General features: G+C 40.5%; 2 protein-coding genes across 4 annotated transcripts in view, besides 3 other annotated features; one reads left to right on the plus strand and one right to left on the minus strand.

The window, feature by feature from the left end:
• The window catches only part of ZNF470-DT (ZNF470 divergent transcript), a 22447-nt gene extending 12465 nt beyond the window's left edge, over nt 1-9982 (minus strand). Inside the window, exon 1 of the mRNA XM_047439806.1 lies at nt 9034-9982. Coding sequence (XP_047295762.1) covers nt 9044-9982 — 939 coding nt within the window. The 3' untranslated portion in view covers nt 9034-9043. The remainder of the gene's footprint in view (nt 1-9033) is intronic.
• Nucleotides 9109-9158: an enhancer, noted in NCBI's record as "active region_15120". NCBI's record gives its function as "activates an Ori minimal core promoter by ATAC-STARR-seq in GM12878 lymphoblastoid cells {active_cell/tissue: GM12878}" and the evidence as "EXISTENCE:reporter gene assay evidence [ECO:0000049][PMID:35858748]".
• Nucleotides 9169-9378: an enhancer, noted in NCBI's record as "active region_15121". NCBI's record gives its function as "activates an Ori minimal core promoter by ATAC-STARR-seq in GM12878 lymphoblastoid cells {active_cell/tissue: GM12878}" and the evidence as "EXISTENCE:reporter gene assay evidence [ECO:0000049][PMID:35858748]".
• Nucleotides 9429-24855, plus strand: ZNF470 (zinc finger protein 470). Of its 3 annotated transcripts, XM_047438804.1 has the most exons (7): nt 9429-9491; nt 9836-9999; nt 10719-10844; nt 12241-12332; nt 16355-16481; nt 16599-16694; nt 18674-24855. In XM_047438804.1, the coding sequence occupies exons 4-7, from the start codon at nt 12273-12275 to the stop codon at nt 20542-20544; spliced, it is 2154 nt and encodes a 717-aa protein (XP_047294760.1). In that variant the 5' UTR covers nt 9429-9491; nt 9836-9999; nt 10719-10844; nt 12241-12272; the 3' UTR covers nt 20545-24855. The 3 variants fall into 3 exon arrangements, with proteins under 3 accessions (XP_047294760.1, NP_001001668.3, XP_047294761.1); NM_001001668.4 differs by having other exon boundaries at nt 9429-9999; XM_047438805.1 differs by lacking the exons at nt 9429-9491; nt 9836-9999; nt 10719-10844 and adding an exon at nt 15872-15945 and having other exon boundaries at nt 12240-12332.
• Nucleotides 9759-9868: an enhancer, noted in NCBI's record as "active region_15122". NCBI's record gives its function as "activates an Ori minimal core promoter by ATAC-STARR-seq in GM12878 lymphoblastoid cells {active_cell/tissue: GM12878}" and the evidence as "EXISTENCE:reporter gene assay evidence [ECO:0000049][PMID:35858748]".
• Nucleotides 24856-26732: the final 1877 nt, after the last annotated feature.

The raw sequence follows: 26732 nt of genomic DNA on the forward strand, positions 1-26732 counted from the left end.
TGACCTATCAACATTATAAACGTGAATTTTTTTCAAACAGTAATTCCAGATCTAGGAATTTTATCCCATTGGAATAAATAGGTAGATATAAATATTGTTTTCTTGTAGAATTGTTTCAATTATGACAAATAAGAATTCAGCGCCCTGCCAAGTGGATTGACTAAATTGTAGTTATTCAGTACTGTGTTGTGCGATTAGTAGAAAGCAGTTAAGCTCTACATACACTTCTATGGAGTGGCGTCTACAACATATTTAATGAAATATGTGGTTTACAGAACCTTACAGGTAAAATGACCTAGTCATAGAGTCAAAATTAATACTGAATATATATGTGTGTATGTACATACAAACACATGCACAGCCTCAGTATCTATGTTGAAATCTGGTTTTGTCTTTAACACACAGACTTTTCCTAGCATTTTGCGGGCACTTTCCCTTTCTTCATTCTGTATTGTTCTGATGAACTGTCAGTGACACATGCTCCAAGTAAGACAACCAGATTCATTCTCTGTATTTTGATTAGAGACACAGGGACAGGAACAGGGCCAATATTCAGCTTTATGAACCAGTATGGCCAGAATGGATGTTTTGTTTTAGTCAATATTCATTTTGATTGGTGGGACCTTTATTATACCTGCTGTGAAGTATGTGGGATATGACTCCTAGGCTGGAATTCGTTTGAATTAAGTCATCCTTTGGCAGCAACCTAAGGATTCCTCCACCTGTCACTGAGATCCATTGAGATGATTCCTGCTTTCTCACATCTTGGTTTTGAGTTAAATTCTTTGAGTCTGTGAACTACCTGGTATTCTAATATTTCTCATTTTAAGTCAGAGTCAAATACTTTGGTTCTCAAGCAAAGAGAGCTAGCCAATGCAGAAATTTATACTACAGAATGATTACTAGACTGTAGAGAAGCAGAGTATTCAAGATGGATGTCCAGTGAGACAGATCAAAGCACAGATGAATTCCTAATCCTATTTTGTGCTGTGAAAGGATATTCATGATATAGCAGGATCCTAAGCCCATTGTGCACTAGGGTCTGGATAGCTCCTACCAAAAACAAAGGTATTGAGGAATACTACTTCCAAAAGTATATATGATACCTGTTTATAATGAAATTGGGTAATTAAAATTTCAAGGCTACTTGAAATTCTGGCCTTAAGGAATTGAATCAGTACCTGTATGTCTGTGTTGGGAAGAATCTCATACTCCTTTTAAGCATGGGGCTGTATTTGCTAAAAAAGGCAGCAGTAGATGCAGTTATTTGCTCAACAATGATGCTTACTGAATGAAGGGGTGGCCTGCCCCTCCACACCTGTGGGCGTTTTTCCTTGGGTGGGACGAGAGACTGAGAAAAGAAAGAGACACAGAGACAAAGTATAGAGAAAGAAAAGTGGGCCCAGGGGACCAGCACTCAGCATACGGAGGACCCACGCCTGCACCGGTCTCTGAGTTCCCTCAGTATTTATTGATCATTATCTCTACCATCTCAGAGAGGGGGATGTGGCAGGACAATAGGGTAATAGTGGGGAGAGGGTCAGCAGGAAAACGTGAACAAATGTCTCTGTGTCATAAACAAGGTTAGAAAATGTGCTGTGCTTTGATATGCACATACACAAACATATCTGGTGCATTAAACAGCAGTATTGCCGCCAGCATGTCTCACCCCCAGCCTTAAGGCGGTTTTCTCCTATCTCAGTAGATGGAACACACAATCGGGTTTTACACCAAGACATTCCATTCCCCAGGGACGAGCAGGAGACAGATGCCTTCCTCTTAACTACAAAGAGGCCTTCCTCTTTTAATAATCCTCCTCAGCACAGACCCTTTACCGGTGTCGGGCTCAGGGACGGTCAGGTCTTTCCCTTCCCACAAGGCCATATTTCAGACTATCACATGGGGAGAAACCTTGGACAATATCTGGCTTTCCTAGGCAGAGGTCCCTGCAGCCTTCTGCAGTGTTTTGTGTCCCTGGGTACTTGAGATTAGGGAGTGGTGATGACTTTTAACAAGCATGCTGCCTTCAAGCACTTGTTTAACAAAGCACATCCTGCATAGCCCTAAATCCATTAAACCTTGAGTCGACACAGCACGTGTTTCTGCCAGCACAGGGTTGGGGGTAGGGTTACAGATTAACAGCATCTCAAGGCAGAATTTTTCTTAGTACAGAACAAAATGGAGTCTCTTATGTCTACTTCTTTCTACATAGACACAGTAACAGTCTGACCTCTCTTTTCCCCACACTGAATTCACAACCGTGTCACTTCTGTTAAGCAATTAGGGAAATACTGGAATTTGGATTATTGGAATGAGACTAACAAGAAGGATTCAAGGATCTTACAAAACTTTGACTCTCCCTTGACTCTCCCTCTCAACCCTTAAGCAACCTCCCCACTGATTCTCCTCTCCATGCTTCCCTTGTGACTGGAAACAAACCTTCCTTCCTTCCTTCTTCCTTTCCCTTTCCTTTCCCCTGCCTTTCTTCTTTTCTTTTCTTTCCTTTTCTTTCTCAGAGTCTTGCTATCCCCCAAGCTGGAGAGCAGTGATGTAATCATGGCTTGCTGCCGCCTTGATCTCCTGGCCTCCAGCGTTCCTCCCACCTCGGCCTCTTCGAGTAGCTGAGACTACAGGCGTGTGCCACCACACCCAGAATTTTTAAATTTTTTGTGGATAGTTGTGCCATGTTGCCCAGGCTGGTCTTGAACTCCTGGGCTCAAGTGATCTGCCTGCCTCGGCCTTCTGAAGTGCTGGGATTACAGGTGTGAGACACCATACCCAGCCTGTGACTGAAAACTTGATTGTCCCTTTTCTCACATGGTCACCATTATTGCTTGGCTGGTAACCAAAATCAGAGCTTAGTATGACCTGTAGTTTGAAATACAGAAAGTTAGGAAAGAGATTAATCTCACCCAGAAATATTTAATTTCCTTCATTAATTGTAACATCTAAAATCTAGGGAACATTGTTGCAAGTGTATTTTCAGGGTTAGAAATTACTTTGCGTAATATAGATGGACTGAAAGAATTCAGAAGTTTATAATGCTGGATTGGATCATTTATGTCCATGCCCTTCACTCATCTGCAAGTTCCCATCAGGGCCCAATAGCCTTTCCATATTCCTTTGACATGAAAGAAGCACTGAAAAATGTCCCTATATCTCCACCTTTAGGTGCAGAGACTTTTCATGAGTGATTACATTTGAAAAGGGTATCCGATTTGTGTAGAACTGTGGCATGTGTAGTGGCTGGATTATAGGGCAATCATTAACTATGAGAAGAAAGTAAAAAGGTTATAACAAACCTCAGAACTCTAGAGTGTTCTGATTTCTGATATTTCCACTGTAATTAATAATTGATCCCCAGCGTTGAAACTGCACTAAGGTTTTATTTTAATTAAAAACACTCCATGGCATGGCATCCAAATCTCACATTGACTTAAATCAGTGGCACAGGACTGGGTCATTCAGGAGTCTGAATGACTGTAATTAAAATTTCTATGAACAATTCCATGGGAATTCGAAAAAGACTTGCATTTATGCAGAGTGAGGGCTTATGGAAGAATTCTTATACAAGCGTAGCTTAGAACAAGGTCTATTGAGACCACAAATGCATACTGTGGCTATTTTTCCAGGTCCTGGGTGTGCATTTGTTAATGATATCTATGATATGAGATGTGACTAGATGACCACCAAAAGTTTGTGTTCTTTTCTATTGTCTGGAATTGATCCTGGGATGTGTCTGCCCAGGCACCTTTGCTTCCAGTTTTGTCTATCAGATGAATTTTCTTCAGTGTGGTGTGAATAGAAGCAATATGGCACTCAGGGCTTGGTTTTTAAGAAAAGGATGTTCTGTCCAGACGGAAGTAGAATCTTAATCATATGGAATGGCAAAGCTGAAAGATAGAACTCTGTGTCCCTAAACCACTATTTGGAGGAAAGCTCCCCAGTCATCAAGGAACACCAGCAATGGATTATTATATGAGTGAGAAATAAACTTATATTGTGTTAAGGTAATGATATTTGGATTTCAATTGTAATAGCAGCTACTATAATTCTAATCAATATAATACCTTTGACTAATGATAGAATTCCTATTTTCCCTGAGTTATAGAGTAGGAACTGTGATGGCGTGTTAGTTGCCTGTTGTTGTAACAAATTATCCCCAAACCTTAGTGGCTGAAAACAGATAGACGTTCATTACCTCAGTTTCTTTGGGGAAGGAATCTAGGCACAGCTTAGTTGGGTGCCTCTGGCTCAAGGTCTCTCAGATGGCTACAGTCTTAGCTGTGGGCCAGTGCTGCAGTCATCTGAAGATTTTGTTAGAGGATAATCAGCTTTCAAGCTCAAGTAAGTGGGCAGGACTCAGTTCCCTACAGGCTTTGGCTGGACATGTTGGTTCCTTTCCATGTGGGCCTCTCTGTAGGGCAGCTTACAATATGGCAAGTGGCTTCCTTGAAAAGTGAGTGAGCAGGAGAGGATGCCCAAGATAGAAGATGAAGTCCTTTTGTAACCTAATATTAGAAGTGATATCCCCTCATCTTTGTATTTGGTTAATTAGGAGTCACTAGGTTTAGCCTACCTTCAAGGGGAGGGGATTACAAAATAGTTTGAGTAAGAGGAGGTGGGGAACTTTGAGAGACATCGTAATGGCTGTCCACCACAGTCTTCCTCCGTCCCCACCTCCCAGTGATTCATTTCCCTTCCAGATGCAGAATACACTCACTCCTTCCAAGGCCCCTCTCAGAGTCTCACCTCATTACAGGATCACCTCAAAGTCAATAATCTTGTCATCTAACATAGGTACAGGTGCTAATGAAGCCCATAAGATATACTTTCTTAAGTATGGGTATTGATCTGCAGACCTTTAGACTTAAAGAAAATAAAGAACAAGTTATCTGTCTCCCCTCCTCCACCACCCCTAACCGATACAGTGGAATCACTGCTCCATAGCAATTCTGAAATCTAACCAGACAAATGTTTGGAAATTCCTTTATTAGGTCACATGGCCTGGGATAATTATCCACCATCTGAACTCTTGGTTCTGCCCTCTGAATCCTTTTTTCCTGCAACGCATTTGCAGTTCAATAGCTTTTTTTTTATTATTATACTTTAAGTTTTAGGGTATATGTGCACAACGTGCAGGTTAGTTACATATGTATACATGTGCCATATTGGTGTGCTGCACCCAGTAACTCGTCATTTAACATTAGGTATCTCTCCAAATGCTATCAATAGCTTTCTTAGCTTGCTTACTAGAGTTTTAGGAATCTAGTGGCGTCTCTTCATTTTGTGCTGTCTCTGTCCCTCTCACTCCAGTTGGCAGAGTTTCTACTGAGTCTTCTGAAAATGTTGTGGGCTTCATGAGAACCTCATTGGGGTTCACTGCACAAGACAAAAGCCACAGCCACAAATCTCTTTGAGATAAGCTTCTTAGAGGCCTAATTATTTGAATAAGAGTGTCTGTCAGGTCGCCTTAATCTCTTTACAGAGCTTTTGTGTGGTTAAATAGTACTGAGATACCAGCTTTGGTCTTTCTGAGGTTCTGGATTTTACAGCCATGCCCTTAGTTTTTATCTAGACCAGTTTTCCTAGCAGTAACTTGGATTTCATTTTTGCTTGGAAGCCCTTTCTTGTTTTTGGCATTGTTTGCCACCTACAGAGGCTAAGAATTTTCAAAATCCTAATGTCCTCTTTGTTAACAGTTATTCCCTCAATTTATATCTCTTCTTTTGCATGTTTCTGTAAGCAGCAAGAAAACAACAGCAACAGGACATTCAGCACATTCCTTGAAAATCTTAGCTACGTCACCCAGTTCTTCTTCCTGCATTAGCTGCAAATAACAGGCTGCTAAACTTTCTGCCATTACATAACAAGGACCCTCTTTCCTCCAGTTTTTAATGGAGTATTTCTCACTATCCTTTTAGCCTTCACCAGCACTTAAGACCCAAAATTTCTGGACAGTCCCTTTTCTATACAAGTATTGGACAAACTCCAAGCATCCCAACAAAGGCTTTAGCATTACCTGTCTCAGTGAGACAAGAGTTGGAGATTGAGTTCAACACAGTGAACTGCCTACTAAAAACAAAATTCAGACGGACTTTTTGTCTGTAGAGACAACAGAGTCTCTACAGTGTGTTACTCATAGAGTAAGAATTATTAGATATGTGAAAACATAAGCCACATTCAAGAGAAGAAAGCAATACAAATCCTTAAACACTGGTATTAGCAAACAAGAATGATAAAGCCCCTATTATAATTATTCTGAATGACATAAAGGAAAATGCTATTAATGGATGAGCAGATGGGAATTTCAGCAAATGAGTAAATCAGTTTGAAAATGGGAATTCTAAAACTAAGAAATACAATGTTTGAAAGTAAAAATCCACTGGATAGGTTTAACAGGAAATTTGAGGTGGCAGAATAGTTAATGAAGTTGAATATAGATAGAAATTATTTAATCTGAAACAAAAAGGATTGAAAGAAATTAAAAGGACTGAATAGTGCTGGTGATAATGTCAAAAGGTGACTTGTGATAATGCTTTGTGTTCTCTGATCTTCCTAGATCTGTGGTTTGGTGTTTGTTTTCTTGCTTTTAGAGACAAGGTCTTGCTTTGTTGCCCAGGAGGGAGTGCAGTGGCAGGATAATGGCTTGCTCAAGCAATCCTCCCACCTCAGCTTCTCGAGTAGTTGGGACTACAATTACACAGCACCACACCCGGCTAATTTTTGTATTTTTTTAAAGATGGGGTCTCACTATGTTGCCCAGGCTGGTCTCAATCTCCTGGGCTCAAGCAATCCTCCCACTTTGGCCCCCCAAAGTGCTGGTATGTATCACAGGCATGAGCCACCACACTGGCCTGGTGTCCTGTCATTAATTTTAGAAAATTCTCAGTCATTATTCAAATATTTTCTCTCCTTTCTCTCTTCCCCTCCTGGTATTCCAGTTACGCATATATTTCACCTTCTGTAATTGTCCCATGGTTCTTGGATATTCTGTTCTTTTTCTTTTTTCATTCTTTTTTTTTCCTCTTTGTATTTCAGTTTGGGAAATTTCTATTAACATATCTTCAAGCTCACCCATTCATTTCTCAGAGTGTCTTAGTCTGAGGGGCTCACTAAAGGTAATCTTCATGTCTGTTACAATGGTTTTCAATTGCTAGGATTTCCTTTTGATTCCTTCTTACAGTTTGCATCTCTCTGCTTACATTACCCATCTGTTCTTGCATGTTGTCTACTTTTTCCAAGATGCTTCTCCTTCTGTGGGCTTCCCTAAGAACTCCTTCTTAAATAGAGTCTGTGCCTTGCAGTTTTCTCTGTTGTAATCTACTGTTATTGACCAGAGCCCCATTAGTGTGGCAGTGAGGTACAGTGGGGAGGGAAGCATTCTATAATCTTATTATTAAATACTATTTTTCTAGTGGGCTTGAGGCCTTGGACTGTGATCTTCAGAAGCACTTCTTAGCCTTTCAAAAATCCTGCCTTACTGAGACAGACAGGCTATAGAGGGACTGGAGCTGGCCAATTGCCTCTCCCCAAGGTCCAACAAGACTCTAGTAAGTAGTTTTTCTTGGAGTGCAGGTGTTTATTATGGAAAATGTGGTGCTTACTTTTCTCCTCCCCTTGCCCAAAAACCTGAGATTTTTCCCCATTCTTCACTGAGAGAATTTGATAGGGTTTCTGGAGGTAAAATTCACGAAAGTGTGGGGGCCCATCTAAGATTGGGCCCCTAGGAGTTTTTAACTCACAAGTTAGCCCACACTAAGCCTCCAGCAATTCATCAAAATTATAAAAAATAAAAGTTTTTACCAGTTTATAACTCCAGTGGCTTCTGCTTCAAGTAAGCTAATCTTGGCTGTAATTTTATGTATTTTTCTTTCTCGGGATTTTGGGGTGTCAGTTACCTTTCTATCTTCAGTTCTCTGATGGATCTAAGAAAAGTTGATTTTCAGTTTGTTGAATGATTTTGTTGTTGTGAAGATGGGAATGAAGGCTTCCGAGCTCTTTATATGCCAGAGCTAAAATGAGAATATTATCATTTTCATCCAACTCAAATAACCACAAACGTTACAAGCTCTAAGATGATATTTGCTGTTTCATAGTTAAAGTATCTTCACAGCTAGACTTGGCTTTATTATGTTGTTTATGATGTCTGACATAAATTGGATCCAGGAGAGTCCAGTCTAGATGTCACTGTGTGGCCTTGGGTGATTGAGTGTGACTGGGAGGGTGAGTTAGTTTCTGGTGAGCCAGTATCTATGATGCTGTATCTTGGTCAGCTGGGGCTGCTATAACAAAATATCATAGACTAAGTGACTTGACTAAGAGACTTTATTTTTCACAATTCTGGAGGCTGGGAAGTTAAAGTGCTGGCACATTCAGTTCTTGGTGAGGGCCCCGTTGGCTTGCAAATGGGTTACATCCTGCTGTGTCCTCACATGGCCTTTGCTTGGTGGTTGTGTAAACATGGAGACCCCTCCTTCCTCTTTTTTAATAAGTGCACTGACCCCATCATAAGGGTATCACCCTTATGACCTAATCTAAAACCAGTTACCTCCCCAAAGTCCCACCTCCTAACGTCATCACACTAGGGGTTAGGGTTTCACCATAGTAATTTTGGGAGGACATATTCAGCCTATAACATGTTGTGTCATGGTGAGACTGGCAATGCTAGATTTCGTGATTTCCTAAAAAATAAAATAAAAATAAAAAACTAAGCACCTACTATGTGCTGTTTTAGTCACTGAGAATATAACCCTGAACAGGACGGAAGCTGTGTGCCTTCTTGGAACCCTCCTTCCAGCAGGGAGAGATAAAATGGGGTGGGGGGAGGTGAGGGGCGTACCGTATATCAGAGAGCAGTAACTAGTAGGCATGAAATAAAACAGGTTCCACACGCGCACCATCAGAAAGTCACAAGTGTGCAAAGCAGACAAATCCCAATCTCCTCACTTTTCTATCGCGTAGGCCCCGCCCGCGCCCCAAGCCCCGCCCTGTCATGGTTTTCCTCTCCAGAGGGTAGCCGCTACGCCTTACCGACTGCGTTTCAGTGCTGTCCCACTGCTCCTGCACACCCCACGCCTGCGACCCTACCCACCACGGACAGGCGCTCCTGCGAGCTGGAAGCCAGTTCTCTGCGTCCTGAGCCTGGCAGCTGCATCTGAACACTCGGAGCCTGGCGATGGCTTCCAGAAACCCCTGCGCCGTGGGTCGCTTCAGTGAAGGGGCCTGTACTTCGGCGACCCAGACTCCGGGCTGAGAGGCCTCCTAATCCAACCAGGAGGACCAGGAGAGGCCCAAAAGGGGACACAGGGCAGTGACCGCCAGGCTTGGAGAGGAGCCGCTCCTGGCAAAGCCAGCGCCCTATTTCTGAACGCCGCCTCCGTTCCGGACTACACTTCCCAGGGGCTATTGCAGCGGAGGACACGCCCACTTCCGGAAAGGACCCAAAGCCGGGCGAGTGCACGTCCCGCCGGTTGCTGAGGAGAAGGGAGGTCTGGGCGGGGCAGCGGCCGAGGCTGGACTGGGGCGCGGCGGGGGCGGTGTCCTGGTTCCTGTGTGGGCGGCGGGCGTGAGCGTGCGCGTGTGGCCTGGTGGCTGTGAGTGCCCATACGTGGTGAGCGTGCGGTGCTGTGCTGAGGAGGGGCGAGCGCGCGCGGGGATGGCGGCCCGGTGTGTGACTGTCCGGTGCGTGGCCGCGAATCTGCGCCTGCGTGCATGGCCCGGCGGCGTGCGGAAGGCGGTGTGTGTTGGAATGAGTGAAGCACTTTAAGTGGCCAAGAGCAGGAAACCCGGCCGGAGGAGGCTTACCCCGTTCTCCCCTGTATCGACTGCGTAGAGCCCAGTGTGGGCAAAGTCCTAGAGCCCGGGGAAGTTGCCCGGGCGGGGCAGCCTCGGCTGAAGCATTTCCTGTCAGCCCTATCTGGAAGGGGCAGAGCCCAGGACAGGGCTCCATGTCCACAGGACGGCGAGGAGCGAAGACCATGGGGACTGAGTACACAGGTAAGAGTGACAGATGACGGATGTGGCTGCCGGAGTGGACATTGAGGTTTTGGGTGCTGTCTTTCGGGGTTCAGGTGCTGGAGGAGGATGTCCCCCGTTTCTAAGGCTAGTGGACCTGGAAGTCGAAAGATTTGGAGGGTCACCTTGGGTCAGAGTGGAGCTGGGTTTAGTTAGGGAGGGACCTTGACTTGGCCAGAGACACCTAACCAGATAACCTGACTCAGGTCCTTGGTATATCACTAAGGGCCCATGGGAGAGAACACTACCCGTAATATTACCCATTATAGCATTACTTCTGGGTACTCTGCTGCTGTTGAAGGAATAGCTCAGCATTTAGATTTTTACCCGTCAGAGCCTTGTCCCATCTATCACTGTAGGATTTGGGAAGAAGGCGAGATTCACAGCTTCACCCAGAAATGCCGAGGCATTCCAGCCTTTCTATGGCTTAATCACGTTCTAGTCAATAACGGAAGATATCCCCATTCCTTGGGCTTCTCTCCCTCCCCTCTGGCCTCCCACTCCAATAAAGAGAAAGGGGGAGGAAGGGCTATTTTTAGCCATATTGTTCTGTGCTTGTTTAGTTTCCTGCATGCTATAGTAATAGCTAATGTTTAATGAGTGTTTATTATGTGCCAGACACAGTTCTAAGACCTTTTGGGAGTATCAGCACCAAACTTCACAACATTATGAAGTAGGAACTACTTACCTCTTTTTTACAGATGAAGACACAGAAGCATAGAGAGGATAAGTAATCACTAGCAAGTGGAAGAACCGGGATTCAGATCCAGAACAGGCTGACTCCAGAGTCACTGGCTGTCATGTAGTTTCCTCAACTACTGCCTCAGGTAGGTTTCTTAGCCACTTTTGACAATTAAAGAAACTGACTCTGAAAGGGTTAAATAACTAAATAGTTCATATGCCAGAACCTCCACTGAGCAGGTTTGGGGTTTTTTTCTTAAAAAGTTTATGACTCTAAGTTCTTAGGTAAAATGGAGATGGTAATATTATATACCTCACAGTACTGTCATAAGGATTAAATGACCTCATACATGTAAAGCACTTGGTATAGTCCCTGCCATGTAATGTGTTCATTTTTATCATCATTATGATAATCCTTTGAGAAGGCAGTGGAATTTAGATGAAAGAAACTAGAATTAATTCAGATACTTTATCCTCTTCCTTCCTAATTAAGGAAACATGGCTCAGTGGAGTCAAGGGACTGCTTCAACACTGTAGTTTGTCACAAAACAAAATGAGATCCTAGGCCTCATGAGGATTTTTTCATTTGGTTGTCTGCAAGTCACATGGACTCTGTTGTAACGAAAGGAATGCCTCTCTCTGGAAAAGATGGAATTCTCCATGGAATTTGTCTTATAGAATGTTCACAAATCCTGGCCAACTGCACAGAGGACTTATTTTCTGTTATTTTCTGGTATATGAGCAAATAACTTCTGTGATAGAGTCAGCCAGACCTAGGTTGGTGACTAGGTTATTTACAAATTTGTGTGACTTGTGGAAAAGACTTGACTTCCCAGAGCTTTCTTGTGTAAAATGGTGACAATATACCCGATTCTGTTTGAAGATTTTGGAGATTTAAAGACAGTATTAATATATGCAGCACAGACATGGTGGCTCATGCTTGTAATCCCAGCACTGTGGGAAGCCAAGGCAGGAGGATTGCTTGAGGCCAGGAGGTTGACCAGATACCTAACTCCAGGAGGTTGACACCTCCTGGCCTCAAGCAATATAGTGAGCAATTGGGCAATATAGTGAGACCCCCATCTCTATCAAAAGTAAAAAAACTAGCTGGGCATGGTGGCACATGCCTGTAATCTTAGCTACTTAGGAGGCCTAAGCAGGAGGATCCCTTGAGCCCAGAGTTTGAAGATACAGTGAGCTATGATCACGTCACTGTACTCCAACCTGGGCAACAGAGTGAGTCCCTGTCTTAGAAAAAAAAAATGTACACACACACAGGCTAGTATTAATAAATCTGTTGTTAATGAATTGGTGGCTGATGGGGAGAGGGGGTCAAGAGATATTATGCTCATCCTGAAAACCCAGAGCAGAGGGGAACCCCAGCTATATATTTCAAGTCTCCCAAAGAGCATCAGGACTGTGGGGTGGGGGAGTTGGAGTGAGGACTGTGAGTGAGGACAGAAGAAGCTGAAGGGAAGAAAGCATTTTCAGACTTTGATTATTAGTGCTACTTGGTTTCTCACTACTTCTTTTTCTCCCCAGCTCTACAATCCCAGAGTAAAGCTCTTCTCCAAATGAAGAGCCAGGAAGAGGTAGAGGTGGCAGGAATTAAACTTTGTAAAGCCATGTCCCTGGTGAGTTAGTATTCCCCCTCTCCCCACTAAAATAGTTTTGCTTTTCTGGATTTGGTAATACTTGTTTTCTTCTGAAAATATTGTGCTTAAGAGTTCCACCCTGAGGCCTGTTTCCTGTTTCTTCCCTTTCTGATATGTGATGGGGTTGTGAGTGAGGGATAGACTCACACAGCCCAGTGCCCTCTCAGAGGTTCCTTCTCTCCTTCCTGCTCATTGTTTATTTTTCATTCAGGAAATGACCCAGTCTGAGCCCTTCCCTTGTGCTCAGTCTTTTCATAGGCATCTGACAAAGCAGAAGTACAATCCTCAGAGGAAATTTCCATGCCTGGTTCCTAAGTCTCAGTCCTGATTCTCAGAGAGGTTATAATCTGCTGGAGAAATGAAAAGGCAGCAAACACTTACGCAGTGTGAGAAGTGCTGCAAGCAGAGAGTAGACTCACAGTGGAATACTTGGGAAGGGCCATTAATAGCCCATATGATGTCTTTGGGTGAATTAGAAAAAAAAGTGCCCCTTCCTCTCTACTGATGAAGCTCTGTAACAGGCCGCACAATATGGCAAGAGGAAGTCTACCGTATTTTAGCTCCTTCCTGCCTCCTTGGTGAGGGATCCTTGAGCAGGATATAGCCTGCACCATCCTACTCACTGCTGAGGGCAGGAAGGGTTGGGGGGACTTCACAGAGGAAGTGATTCCTGAGTTACGCCTTGAATGAAATGGAGGAAGTGCAGGCATATGGGATTGATGGCATTCTGAACAGAGTATGCAAAGGTTTGTTCTCCCCATTTGACCATGGAGCCGTGAACATCTTAAAATGCCAAGGAATGTTTTACATCCTTTCTTCTTTCTAGGTTGAATACCATAATCTGTTTAGTCAGTCCCTTGTTGTTCCGTAGGTAAATTGTTGACAATTATCTGCTGTTAATAGAGTGTTGCAGTAATTATTCTTGTAGTTGAATTTTTGCCCTCATCTCTGATTATTTTCTTTGACTAAATTCCTAGTTTTTCATTCCTTGTGGATTAAAGTTTCTCAAACTGACCCTACCCTAGAACATTTTAAATTTTATTATTTTTATGGCCAACAATAGAAGCTTCAGAGCTACAGTTCATGTTCTGATTAAGATAAACTGTTAATCTAGTTTCACCAGCAAATTGCTTATTGTAAGAAAGTATTGAATTTGGTTTACAAACTTAGAAAATTAAAATTTTTAAAATGGAGTAGTTAAGTTTTCTTTTTGTTTTTTGTCTTTTTTTTTTTTGAGATGGAGTCTCACTCTGTTGCCCAGGCCAGAGTGCAGTAGTGCAATCTTGGCTCACTGCAACCTCCACCTCCCAGGTTCAAATGATTCTTCTGCCTCAGCCTCCCAAGTAGCTGGGATTACAGGCCTGTGCCACCACACCTGGCTAATTTTTTTTTTTTTTTTTTTTTAAGTAGAGATGGGGTTTCACCATGTTGGCCAGGCTAGTCTCAAACTCCTGACCTCAAGTGATCTGCCAGCTTTGGCCTCCCAAAGTTCTGGTATTCCAGGTGTGAGCCACTGTGCCTGGCAAAAATTTTTTTTTTATAATAGGCATAACAACTTATGGCCAGAGCATGACACCTTTTCTTAGGTATAATGCCATGAAACATACACTACCAAGGTAACTTGTTTCTTAGCGCATTTGGACATTTTAAACAAAAGCATTCATGTCAGTTGCCAGAGGAAAATATTTTAAGAGTGGCAGAATTTGTCATAAAGGTTAAGATGGACTATGCACACTCCACTCTTTTTCCCAGTGAAAGTTGCTATAAAACCAGGACAGCATGCCTGGAACAGCAATCTGAGGTCTCTGTAAAGTAAATAGTAGCAGGCAGACTGGACACAGTGACTCACACCTGTGATCCCAGCACTTTGGGAGGCTGAGGCGGGTGGATTACCTGAGGCCAGGAGTTCAAGACCAGCCTGGCCAACATGGTGAAACCCTGTCTCTACAAAAAAAAAAAAAAAAAAAAAAAAAAAAAAAATATATATATATATATATAAATTAGCCAGGTGTGGTGGTGCATGCCTGTAATCCCAGCTATTCAAGAGGCTGAGGCATGAGAATCACTTGAACCTGGGAGGTGGAGGTTGCCGTGAGCCAAGATTGTACCACTGCACTCCAGTCTGGGCAACAGAACAAGACCCTGTCTCAAAAAAAAAAAAAAAAAAAGTAGCAGTCAGATTGGGGAAAAAGCCCCAGATTTGAAGTACCACCAGACCATGGTGCGTTTACCTTCAAGAGACTCAAAACCTGCAAGTGGGTAATGATGTGGACAGAAAGAGCTGCAGGAGAAGCCTTCTAGTTGATAATCAAACTGCTGAAAACTAAAGACAAAAAAATCTCAAAAACCAGCCACTGAAAAACGATGAAGAACTGTCAACCTAGAATACTATGTCCAGGGAAAGTAGCCCTTAGGAATGCAGATAAAATAAAGTTACTCATAGGAAAGAAAACTAAGAACATTCACTGCCAGAATTCTGCAAGAATCACTAAAGGGAGTTCTTCAGATAGAAATTATACCAGAAGGGAACTTGGAGCATCAGGGTGAAGGAAGTGCAACAGAAATGGGAAATATTATATGTAAATACAATAGACTGTTCTCTTGAGTTTATAAAAATATCTTCAATGGTTAAAAACAAAGCTGATAGCTTAACTAAACAGAACAGTATTTTAATATAGGTAATCTAGATTCAGAGACCATGTCTAAACTATTGTAGCATACTACAGTTAGGTAAAATAAGATGTAAGAATTATGATTGAAATACTAAATGAAATGTTTCACCTGTTCTTCTTGGCCTTCTCTTCTTCTCTCTCTGTTTTTTCCCTTCTGTCCTTCTTCATCCTTATCATAGGCAACAATTCTTAAGCAATTACATCATGCCAGGCATTTTAGATCTGTTTCTTCATTTAATTTTCACGGTGCTGCCATGAAGCAAGTACTATATTTCCATTTTTCAGATGGGAAAACTGAGGCACAGGGAAGTTAAATTTGGCCAACCTCACCCAGCTAGTCAGTACTACAGACCAAATTCATTGGAGTAATCTGACCTTTTTTCTGATTTATTCAAAACTGGTATTTATTTAAAAGTCTGATGTTGATATAAGTGAAGTCATAAAAAAATTGAAAATCTCCCAGTAACAGTCCAGTGGATCACTTTGTGGGTTGGTTAGGAAATGGAGCTCATGTAACAAAACACAGGTTGCTTGATATGTGCTCACATCACATTATTTCTCCTGATAATTTCCCATTAGATTATCAAAAAACAACTTTTGGGCATGTTGGCTCAGGCCTATAATCCCAACTCTTTGGGAGGCTGAGGTGGGAGGATTGTGAGAGGCCAGGAGTTTGAGATCAGCCTGGGCAATATAGTAAGACCCTGTCTCTACAAAATGAAGAAGTAAATAAAAAAGGAAAATGAAAAACAACTTTTCAAATGTGTTCTTCTCTCCTAATACAAATATACTTTTATTTCAGAAGAAAAGACTATAGCTAGGTGTTTTTTTCCTTTCATTTTTTAGGCATACCTCTTAACATCTCAAGAACACTAAGATTTCTTAGAAAATATTGTGGAGATTGAAATCATGTTCATCAGGTCAGCATCCTTCCTTGCAAGTTTTTCTCACAGTTCCAGAGCTCTTTAGCTTCTCCATGTAGAGAAGTGATTTAGCTCCTAACATGAATAGCATTGCGTTAGCACTTGATTATATCCTGTTTTGAATGTAGTCAGCATTTTTTCATTGGTAATGTATTCTCGCCACCTAGAATTGCAAATGTTTGAAGAGCAAGGAGTATCTCATTTTTTTCTTTTTCCTAATATGTACAGCATAACTAGGCAGAAAAGTTGTCCAATAACTTACCTGACCCGGATCATTTAGACCCTTAGTGCAGTTACTTATACATAGTGTTTTTAATCCCAAAGTGAGAACAGCATAACTCTTTACCCTAGAGCTGCATTGGAATGTGAACACTGAGTGAGCAAGATCATATTTGTGTCATTTTAGGGTTCAGTGACTTTCACAGATGTGGCCATAGACTTTTCCCAAGATGAATGGGAGTGGCTGAATCTTGCTCAGAGAAGTTTGTACAAGAAGGTGATGTTAGAAAACTACAGGAACCTAGTTTCAGTGGGTAAGAGTATCTTCCTCCTGTTGCCTCCCCATGACTCAGTAGTCTTTTATGCCATTATCAGAATTTCCCATAGTTTTCCACAGCATAGGCAATTTTTATATGTCTTTTTACATGCAGGTCTTTGCATTTCTAAACCAGATGTGATCTCCTTACTGGAGCAAGAGAAAGACCCTTGGGTGATAAAAGGAGGGATGAACAGAGGCCTGTGCCCAGGTAAGTGGAGGATACCTAGAGATAAAGGAACTGTTCTCAACATGTTCTTGTCTCTGAAGTGTGTTGGAAAACACCTCTCAAACTCCCTCCCAAACTGAAACTTGTTCTTCTAACACCAGTTTTTGAATGGTTATTCTCTTCCCTACTAGTGTAACTTGCCTCCTTTACCTTTATTGATTTCTTATGCATACCAGGGTCTATTTCTGAGCTCTTGTTTTACTGATGTTTACCTAATTCTACTCAAGCACCATATTGTTGTCATCATCCCTGACTTCAAACATTTCTGAATCCTTTAGACAAGCTGATGTTTAGTTTTTTGAACTGGTTTAAATATTTTCCTTTCCTTAAAAGGTGAGTTTATTGAGTTAACATGTATTACAGCTATTTTCTTCCCTCTGCCTTTTTCTTTTTTGTATTTCTTGTGTTATTTATTCTTGTTTTGTTGTTTATTAGGTCTGTTTTTTTCTCACTCTCTTCTTTATACCACCCCACCCTTTGAATTAGAAAAGTTTTTAGTTCTACAAGTTGTTACCTTTATGTATTTATATATTTTAAGATCTTTTAGAATTTTTCTGCTTGGTATTCCAAACATTGTCTTCTGATACCCTTACAAAAGATGAAGAAATTAGCTCATGAATATTACTTTCTTTCCCTGTGTACATCATTTCCCCACTTATATTGTGCTCACTGGGATTTTTGACGCAGGGTATTTCATTCAATTTTTTTTTTTTTTTTTTAATTTTCTTGCCTTGCTTTGTAGCTGTTTTACTGATTTAGAAAGCTAGATAAGAGACGACAGAAATATATTGCAAGAAAATGAACCTCAAATGAGATGGTCCTGGTTTAATCTGTGGCCTGAAGCGTAGACTTTTCCTACTTTCAGTTCTTCATTTTATTTTATTTTATTTTACTTTTTAAAATTAGAGACAGGATCTTGCTATGTTACCCAGGCTGGAGTTGAACTTTTGGGCTCAAGCAATACTCCCACCACAGCTTCTTGAGTAGCTAGGACTACAGGAATGCATCACCACACCTGGCCCTACTTTCAGTTCTTATAGTTTCAACAAGAGGATTGTGGGTTACTTGTGGTCCTATGTACATTAATAAATAAGAAATAATGAAAATCAGTAAGCATCTGATTCACAATATTAGAAAAAGAACAAAATGAATTTAAGGAAAGCCCAGATAAGTTATATGTAGTGATTTATACGTCTACAAATAAAAGTAGGAATAAATGAATTAGAAACAGTAGCGCTACTGAAAATAAAGTATTGTACATACTTCATTAGAAAACCAACACAGTATATAAACTAAGGACAAATGAGAGAAAACACAAAAACAAAATAATTATAAATAACCACACATGCATAAGAACTTAAAAGAATCATGTGAATCTATTTTCCTCAACTCTCCATAAAATAATTTGAAAAAATAGATGATATTCTAGAAGAATATAATAATGTAGGTTACCATAACTGATACCAAGAGGAGATACAACATTTAAACAAGTAAGTTACCATCAGAGAAATGTAGAATGTTGTATAGGAACTGCCTCCCCCAAGAAAAGAAGCCACATCCCCGAATAGTTCTTTAAGGAAAAATATCATCAATGTTGTTTAAATTGTTCTGGGATAGAGAATAAAAAGAGAGCTTAAAACATTTTTGTTTATGAATACAGCATATCCGATGATACCAAAATTACCAAAATAGCACCAAAAAGAGAAATTAGAGACAAACCTCAATTATCAATATTGGTTCAAAATCTTAAAAGGTCATATTGAAATAGTATACCATGGCCAAGGAGGATTTATTACAGCAGTGCAAGGATGGTTGTATCACCTAATCTTATGTAAGAACCATAAAAACATGTACCTCTGCTTGTGGGTTTCAATAACTATGTGATTCACATTTTCATTTTCGAAATTTCCATTATTCTAGCATTTAATAAAGGAGACATTTACTTTCTTAATATCTTTCAGACTTGGAGTGTGTGTGGGTGACCAAATCATTATCTTTAAACCAGGATATTTATGAAGAAAAATTACCCCCGGCAATCATAATGGAAAGACTTAAAAGCTATGACCTTGAATGTTCAACATTAGGGAAAAACTGGAAATGTGAAGACTTGTTTGAGAGGGAGCTTGTAAACCAGAAGACACATTTTAGGCAAGAGACCATCACTCATATAGATACTCTTATTGAAAAAAGAGATCACTCTAACAAATCTGGGACAGTTTTTCATCTGAATACATTATCTTATATAAAACAGATTTTTCCCATGGAAGAGAGAATATTTAATTTTCATACAGATAAGAAAAGCTTAAAAACACATTCAGTTGTGAAAAAACACAAGCAAGACCGTGGAGAAAAGAAACTTTTAAAATGTAATGACTGTGAGAAAATATTCAGCAAAATCTCAACCCTTACTCTTCACCAAAGAATTCATACAGGAGAGAAACCCTATGAATGTATTGAATGTGGAAAGGCCTTTAGCCAGAGTGCCCACCTTGCTCAACATCAGAGAATACACACAGGAGAAAAACCTTTTGAATGTACTGAATGTGGGAAAGCCTTCAGCCAGAATGCTCATCTTGTTCAACACCAGAGAGTTCATACTGGAGAGAAACCTTATCAGTGTAAGCAGTGTAATAAAGCATTCAGCCAGCTTGCACACCTTGCTCAACATCAGAGGGTCCACACTGGAGAGAAACCCTATGAATGTATTGAATGTGGGAAGGCTTTTAGTGATTGCTCATCCCTAGCTCATCATCGAAGGATTCACACTGGGAAAAGACCTTATGAATGTATTGACTGTGGGAAAGCTTTCAGGCAGAATGCTTCTCTTATACGTCATCGGCGATATTATCATACTGGAGAGAAACCCTTTGACTGTATTGATTGTGGGAAGGCTTTCACTGATCACATAGGACTTATTCAGCATAAGAGAACTCATACTGGAGAGAGACCTTACAAATGTAATGTGTGTGGGAAGGCTTTTAGCCATGGCTCATCTCTGACAGTACATCAGAGAATTCATACAGGAGAGAAACCTTATGAATGCAATATCTGTGAGAAAGCCTTCAGCCATCGTGGGTCTCTTACTCTTCATCAGAGAGTTCATACTGGAGAGAAACCCTATGAATGTAAAGAATGTGGGAAAGCTTTCCGGCAGAGCACGCATCTGGCTCATCATCAGAGAATTCATACTGGAGAGAAACCTTATGAATGTAAGGAATGCAGCAAAACCTTCAGCCAGAATGCACACCTCGCGCAACATCAGAAAATACACACTGGGGAGAAACCTTATGAATGTAAGGAATGTGGTAAGGCCTTCAGTCAGATTGCACACCTTGTTCAGCACCAGAGAGTTCATACTGGTGAGAAGCCTTACGAATGTATTGAATGTGGGAAGGCCTTTAGTGATGGCTCATATCTTGTTCAACATCAGAGACTCCACAGTGGCAAAAGACCGTATGAATGTCTTGAATGTGGGAAGGCATTCAGGCAGAGGGCATCCTTGATTTGTCATCAGAGATGTCATACTGGTGAGAAACCTTATGAATGTAATGTTTGTGGGAAAGCCTTTAGCCATCGTAAATCCCTTACTCTGCATCAGAGAATTCATACAGGAGAGAAACCTTATGAGTGTAAGGAATGTAGCAAAGCCTTCAGCCAGGTTGCCCATCTTACTCTACATAAGAGAATTCATACTGGAGAAAGGCCCTATGAGTGTAAAGAATGTGGAAAAGCCTTCAGGCAGAGTGTACATCTTGCTCATCATCAGCGAATTCATACCGGAGAGTCATCAGTTATTCTCTCCTCTGCCCTCCCATACCACCAAGTCCTATAGATTCAATCTCGTAAATGCTTCTAGCATCCATCTGCTTTTTTCCAGCACATGTCCCATCATCATAGTCCAAGACGCAACCATCTCATCTGGATTTCTGCAGTAGCATAACTGTTGCCCCTTTTGCTTCTATCAACTACATGTTTAACACTGTAGGCAGCCTAACCTTTTAAAAATAAAAATACATAATTTATGTTATTTTCCCATTTAAAACACTTGATTTGAAAAATATATTAACTAATCCATTTCAAGGATTTAGCACACACTGGCATATAGTTATTGCTAAATAAATGCTAGCCATTAAGGTAAAGGTTTCCTTACAAACTATCATATTAAGCAGCAAGTAAACCAAACAGTAAGTCTAAGACTAAGATTTTAGAGCAGACAGAAGACTACTCTCCTGGTAGAGAGGAAAGATGAACAAACTCAGAATTGAAAGATTTATGGTACACAAGGTAACATGGTGGCTTATCACTCCCTCTGTGACATTGTTGATGAGCAACTCTCACTTTACCTGACACTGAGAAGTGAGAATCAGCCAATTAGAACAAAAGCTTTTAGCTGGGTGCGGTGGCTCATGCCTGTAGTCCCAGCACTTTGGGAGGCTGAGGCAGGCAGATTGCTTGAGCTCAGGAGTTCGAGACCAACCTGAGCAACATGGTGAAACCCTGTCTCTACAAAAAATACAGAAATTAGCCAGGCGTGGTGGTGCACACCTGTAGTCCTAGCTACTCAGGAGGCTGAAGCAGGAGGATTGCTTGAGCCCAGGAGGTAGAGGTTGCAGTGAGTCATGATCACACCACTGCAATTCCAGCTGGGCAGCAGAGCCAGACACTGTCTCAAGGAAAAACAAAGAACAAAAGCATTTGGTAGAATGTAGGACTAACCAGGGTAGGTAGTAGTAAACCAAAAGTAACAAGCCAAAAAAACTTGAATAGATTAATAGCCATGAAACACTGAAAAGGGTAGTTCAATACTTTGGCCTTTATAAAAGTACCACAGACAATTCGTGTGGTATTTAAATTGTTCTAGCATAAAATAAAATGCAATAAGACCTTCCATCTTGTTCCATGAGATTGACAAGACATGCCAAAACATAAAAATATGTACACTGCAATTAGTTTCTGAATGTAGATGTTACAACTTAAACTTATTTTTAAAATATTTAAAAATAGGAAGGCTAGACATGCCTCTGTATAGAAAATCTGATAAAAATATTTCTCCCTAAATTGTAAATTCATTGATATTCCAGTAAAAATTTCCATATTTTTTTAGTTGAGAAGCTGATTCTGATCATCTGTAGAATTTTGATTTTAACGAGGAATGTAGTTTACATTAGGAATGTAGTACTAATACTAATTGAACATTTGCTAATGTTTCACACACTATTTTAGGTGCTGGGGGATACAGTAAGGTACAAGATGGACAAAAATACGTGCTCTTACAGATCTAGTAGAACAGAAAAAATTAAATGCATGCTATGTGATAAGTATATGATATGTCCCATAAAGAGAAATGATATAAAAAAGAAGCTAGGGAGTGCTGGATCAGGCACCTTACTATCCCCAGAACATGTTGGTATTAGAGGATGAGGGAAGAACTAGAGGTAACTGTGAGACACAAAAGGCATAATGAAAATAGTCATGATAGTCCCAAGGCAGATATTGTTTATGATGCTTTGAGTGTTGGAGGAAGGGAGGATTGATGGTTTAACAGAGATCATGGCAGTTATGTTCACTCATATAAATGTTGATTTAGAAGCTGGTGGAAGGGTATTTTTTGAGTGACAGCTTTATTGAGACAAAGCAATTCTGGAGAACACCCATATCCTTCTCTCTGTATCCATCAGCAGAAGTGAAGAGGGAGCCCCAAAGTTCCACTTAAAGTGTACAACTTATGGCTTTTAGTTCATTCACGGAGTTGTGCAACCATCACCACCATCAATTTTAGAACATTTTCATCACCTCAAAGAGGAATCCCTTGTCCTTTTGTAGTTATGGCCATCCCTGGAAGAGTACTTTTTTTTTTTTTTCAACTGAAGCACCCAGAGCTCTTGGGTTCCCTCTTAACTGCTTTCTGTGGAAGTATAGAGGGCCATGTGAGGGAAGCCGTTATCCAGAGTACATGACTGCTAGAAAATGGAGTTTGGGGCTCCCTCTTCACTTCTGCTGATAGAAGCATAATGGCTAGGGGATGGGTAGTCTCACCAGAGAATGTGGAGCTTTCAGACTCTCCTTATATATGATAAAAAGGATTTTTCATTGTAGTGGGGAAAAGGTGGTTTGATCAAATGGCATTGGGAAACTTAGCTCACTGGAAAAACAGATCTGTACCTTTCACACTAATGAAATGCCTGAGATATTAAAGGTCTAAATGTAAAATTAAAGTACATGAAAAACAGAATAATATATATGTACCCTCGGTTTGAAATAGACTTTAAGCACTAATGCATAACCCCAAAGCTGACATTAGGCTTTTATATGGTGGAAAACATCATAGTCAATAGATAAATGAGAGACTGACACAAAGTGTTTGCAACAGATATAATAAAGGACTGTAATTCGTGATATTCAAAGTACTATTACAAACCAATAATAATCTGCAACTTAGAAAAATGGACTAATGTCCCATTCACAAAAGATGCAATAAAAGCAGTTAATGAAAATTATCCAATATCACTAGAAATCAAGAAATGCAAATTAAAGTGATTATCTACTTTTTCCCCAAAAGACTGACTAATCGAGTGATAACATTCAGTATTGGTGAATGTGTGGAAACAAGGGAATTCCATTGTTGATTACATATCTATTGCTTTATGTATATACCCTTTGAATTAATATTCCTTGGAAACCAACATATACAAAGGTAGATAAATGTATTAGTGGCAAAAAAATTAATGGTAAACTATTAAAACAACAAGTGTCCATCAGGGTAATAAATAAATTAATTATGGTATATATCCATTCAATAGGAATTATGCAGCTGTTGAAAAAAAATCAATGTGTGTAGTCATAGAAAGATAGCTGTGCTATACTAAATGAAAAATTGCAGACCTGTATTGTAGTATAGGCCCATAATTGTGATATCAAAAATAAAAATCAAAATATATATTATAGTAGGCATTTGTTTTTCTCTGCCCAGTTTCCCTTGCCTCCTCCTTTTGGCTGCACTATCTCATCTTTTCCTTTTGAGTAACTGGCCATACCCTACCATATGTTTTTGATGGACGTGGCCAATAAAATTGTCTCTGAATTTCAAAAGGCATTTGGATCTGTGTCATCCAATGGCAACTCCCTAAAAGCTGATGCAGTTATTCTTTTGATTGGTCCTTGGAACCACCCTGGTTTTTGTACTTTCCAAGTCTGTGATTCCTCAAACTACCCATTGTCTTTCCGGTACTTGATTTTTGCCTCCTGTTGGTCAGTTGCTTGCAAGTAAAGAAACAATCATACAGAATTTGGTACGAAGATTGGGTAATGGGCATTAGAATCTTTGGAAAAATCAGGTATTGGGAGTTGCTTTTTGGATGAGATGGGGCGAATAAGACTTATATTCTAGACTGGAAAGCATCTCATGGTGTGCGATGAGCAAACGCCTGATTATTCATTATAGTCACCTGGGATGAATAGAGGTCTAGGGTTCTGGATAATGATAATTTAAGGAGGATGGAGAATGCTGAATCCAAAAGGTATATGTAATACTGGTATCTAACTGCTTGGAATAACTTAAAGTTTAGCTCTTGAATTTCTAGCATTAAGGCAAAAAAAATTCACCTAAGGGATTTTGTATGATATTGTTGAAAGATGTCTTACATTGTTTAAAGTCATAGGGTTAAGATGGCTCATAACCAAATTTAGAGACTATTTTTATGCATTGTTAAAGTGGAATGCTGGTTAAATTTTATACTTTATTCACAAGAGTCACTGTGAATTGAATTGTGAATTCAGTTCTGAATTGTGTTCCCACCAGCACCACCAAATGCTGGCCTCTACCACCACCAAATTTACTTGTTGAAGTCCTAAACCCCAACATGACTGTATTTGGACATAAGGCCTTTAAGAAACTAAGGTTAAGTTAGGCCATAAGAGTGAGGCCCTAATCCCATAGGACTAGTGTCCTTATAAGAGGAAGAGACACCAGAGGTTTGTCTCTCCACATGTGCACAGAGGAAATGCTGTGTAAGGACACAACAAGAATGCTGCCATCTGCAAGCCAGGAGGAGAGACCTCACCAGGAACCAGCCCTGCCAGCACCTTGATCTTGGACTTTTAATCTCCAGGACTGTGAGAAAATAAATGTTGGTTGTTTAAGCCACCCAGTCTGTGGTATATTGTTACGGCAGCCTGAACTGATTAATGCAATTACCATATAATTTATTGTTCAAACTGGGACATTTTTGAGAGTGAAAGGAGTAGCTAACTGCACAGGGCACTTGACAACAGGTGTTCATATCCTCAGCAAAGCAGGATATATGGTCATACTTCTTGTGTAACAGAATATTGAACAGAAAAAAATATAGCTCTACTATTGGAAAGGTGATATTGGAGATGAGCCAAAGGATTGGAATATACTGAACTTCCGGATTCGTGTGATATACCACCTATTAACATCTGTTTGCATAGGTACATATGGCTGTTCTGAAGAGACAGCTAACAGTTCATCTTATTCCCCCATTCCATTGTTGCTCACATGGAATAACAAAGTGAATTTAACATGACCATAACATTAAATGCAAAAATCAGGCTGAGCACAGTGGCTCATGCCTGTAATCCTAGCACTTTGGGAGGCCCAGGCAGGAGGATCATTTGAGACCAGCCTGGGCAATGTAGCATGACCCTATCCCATATCTAAAAAAAAATTAAATTTTCCAGTCATGGTGGCACCTAGCTACTCGGGAGGCTGAGGTGGGAGGATTGCTTGAGCCCAGGAGTTCGAGGCTGCAGTGAGCCATGATCACACCATTGCAATCCAGCTTGGGTGACAAAGCCAGACCCTGTTTGAAAAATAGATAAATAAAATCATACATATGTACAAAATTAAAATAGGGCAAAGAGTAACTGTATCTTAGAAGAATTTTCGGCAGTTAGTTTACTAGTGTAGATTAAGAAAAATCTAGGGCATTTGTGGAAGTGAAATTTGAGGAGGCTGAATATATTGACAAAGTAGCTTGAGTAGCCTGCCATGGTTCTAAGAATTTGTTGAACTCATCCATGTACCAAATGCTGGCCGCTAATAAATTACATTATAAGGCCAGAAATCTCTTAACATAATGTAAAGGATGTTGTTCAGACTTCAAAAGGCAGGATTGCTGGATTGGTTCTTGTGTTGCAACATCAGGTCTCCTGACAAGAGTCCAGAAACCTATACATTCATTCTTCCCGTGAGAAAAACACCATTTGTCTAATGGATTTTAAAACCATTACACCGACTCTCTGGCAGATCAAGAATGCTATGTAGAGAGGTTGTAACTGAAGGAGCATCTCTGATCAAAAGACTAATTGAAATGGGAATGACACCAAACTGCCCCACCAGGTGAGCCTCCTCTGGGACTAATGTGACTTCAGAGAGAGCCTTTAACTCAGCATGGCCTGAGAGTCCTTGGGCAGATTGGGGCCTTGGGGAGGTTTTTTGGGGCTCCTGGTGGCAGAAGCAAAGAACAATTTAAAAATAAGGTTTAAAAAATTCTACCTACAATAGCATCAAAAGGAATTAAATACTTAGGAATCAACAAAAGTACAAAAGTTAGATTCTGAAAACTATAAAATATTGTTGAAAGAAAATCCCATATTTATGCATTGGAAGGCTTAATATTATTAAGATGGCAATGCTTCCCAACATTATCTACATGTTCAATGCAATCTAATTTCCTTTTTGTGGGAATTGATAAGCTGATCCTAAAATTCATATGGAAGCACAAGGGACTCAGAATAGCCAAAACAATATTTAAAAAGCAAAACAAAGCTGGAGAGTCACACTTTCCAATTTTAAATCAAAACTGTAGTAACCAAGACTATGCAGTACTGGCATAAGGATAGTTATAGAGATCAATGGAATAGAAATTAAGGTCCAGAAATAAACCCATACATTTATGCTCAATTGATTTTCAACAAGGATGTCAAAACAATTTAATGTGGGATAAGAAGAGTTGTTTCAGCCGGGCGCGGTGACTCACGCCTGTGATCCTAGAACTT

This window comes from Homo sapiens, chromosome 19 (assembly GCF_000001405.40).
Source record: "Homo sapiens chromosome 19, GRCh38.p14 Primary Assembly".
In the NCBI taxonomy this organism is placed as follows: Eukaryota; Metazoa; Chordata; class Mammalia; order Primates; family Hominidae; genus Homo; species Homo sapiens.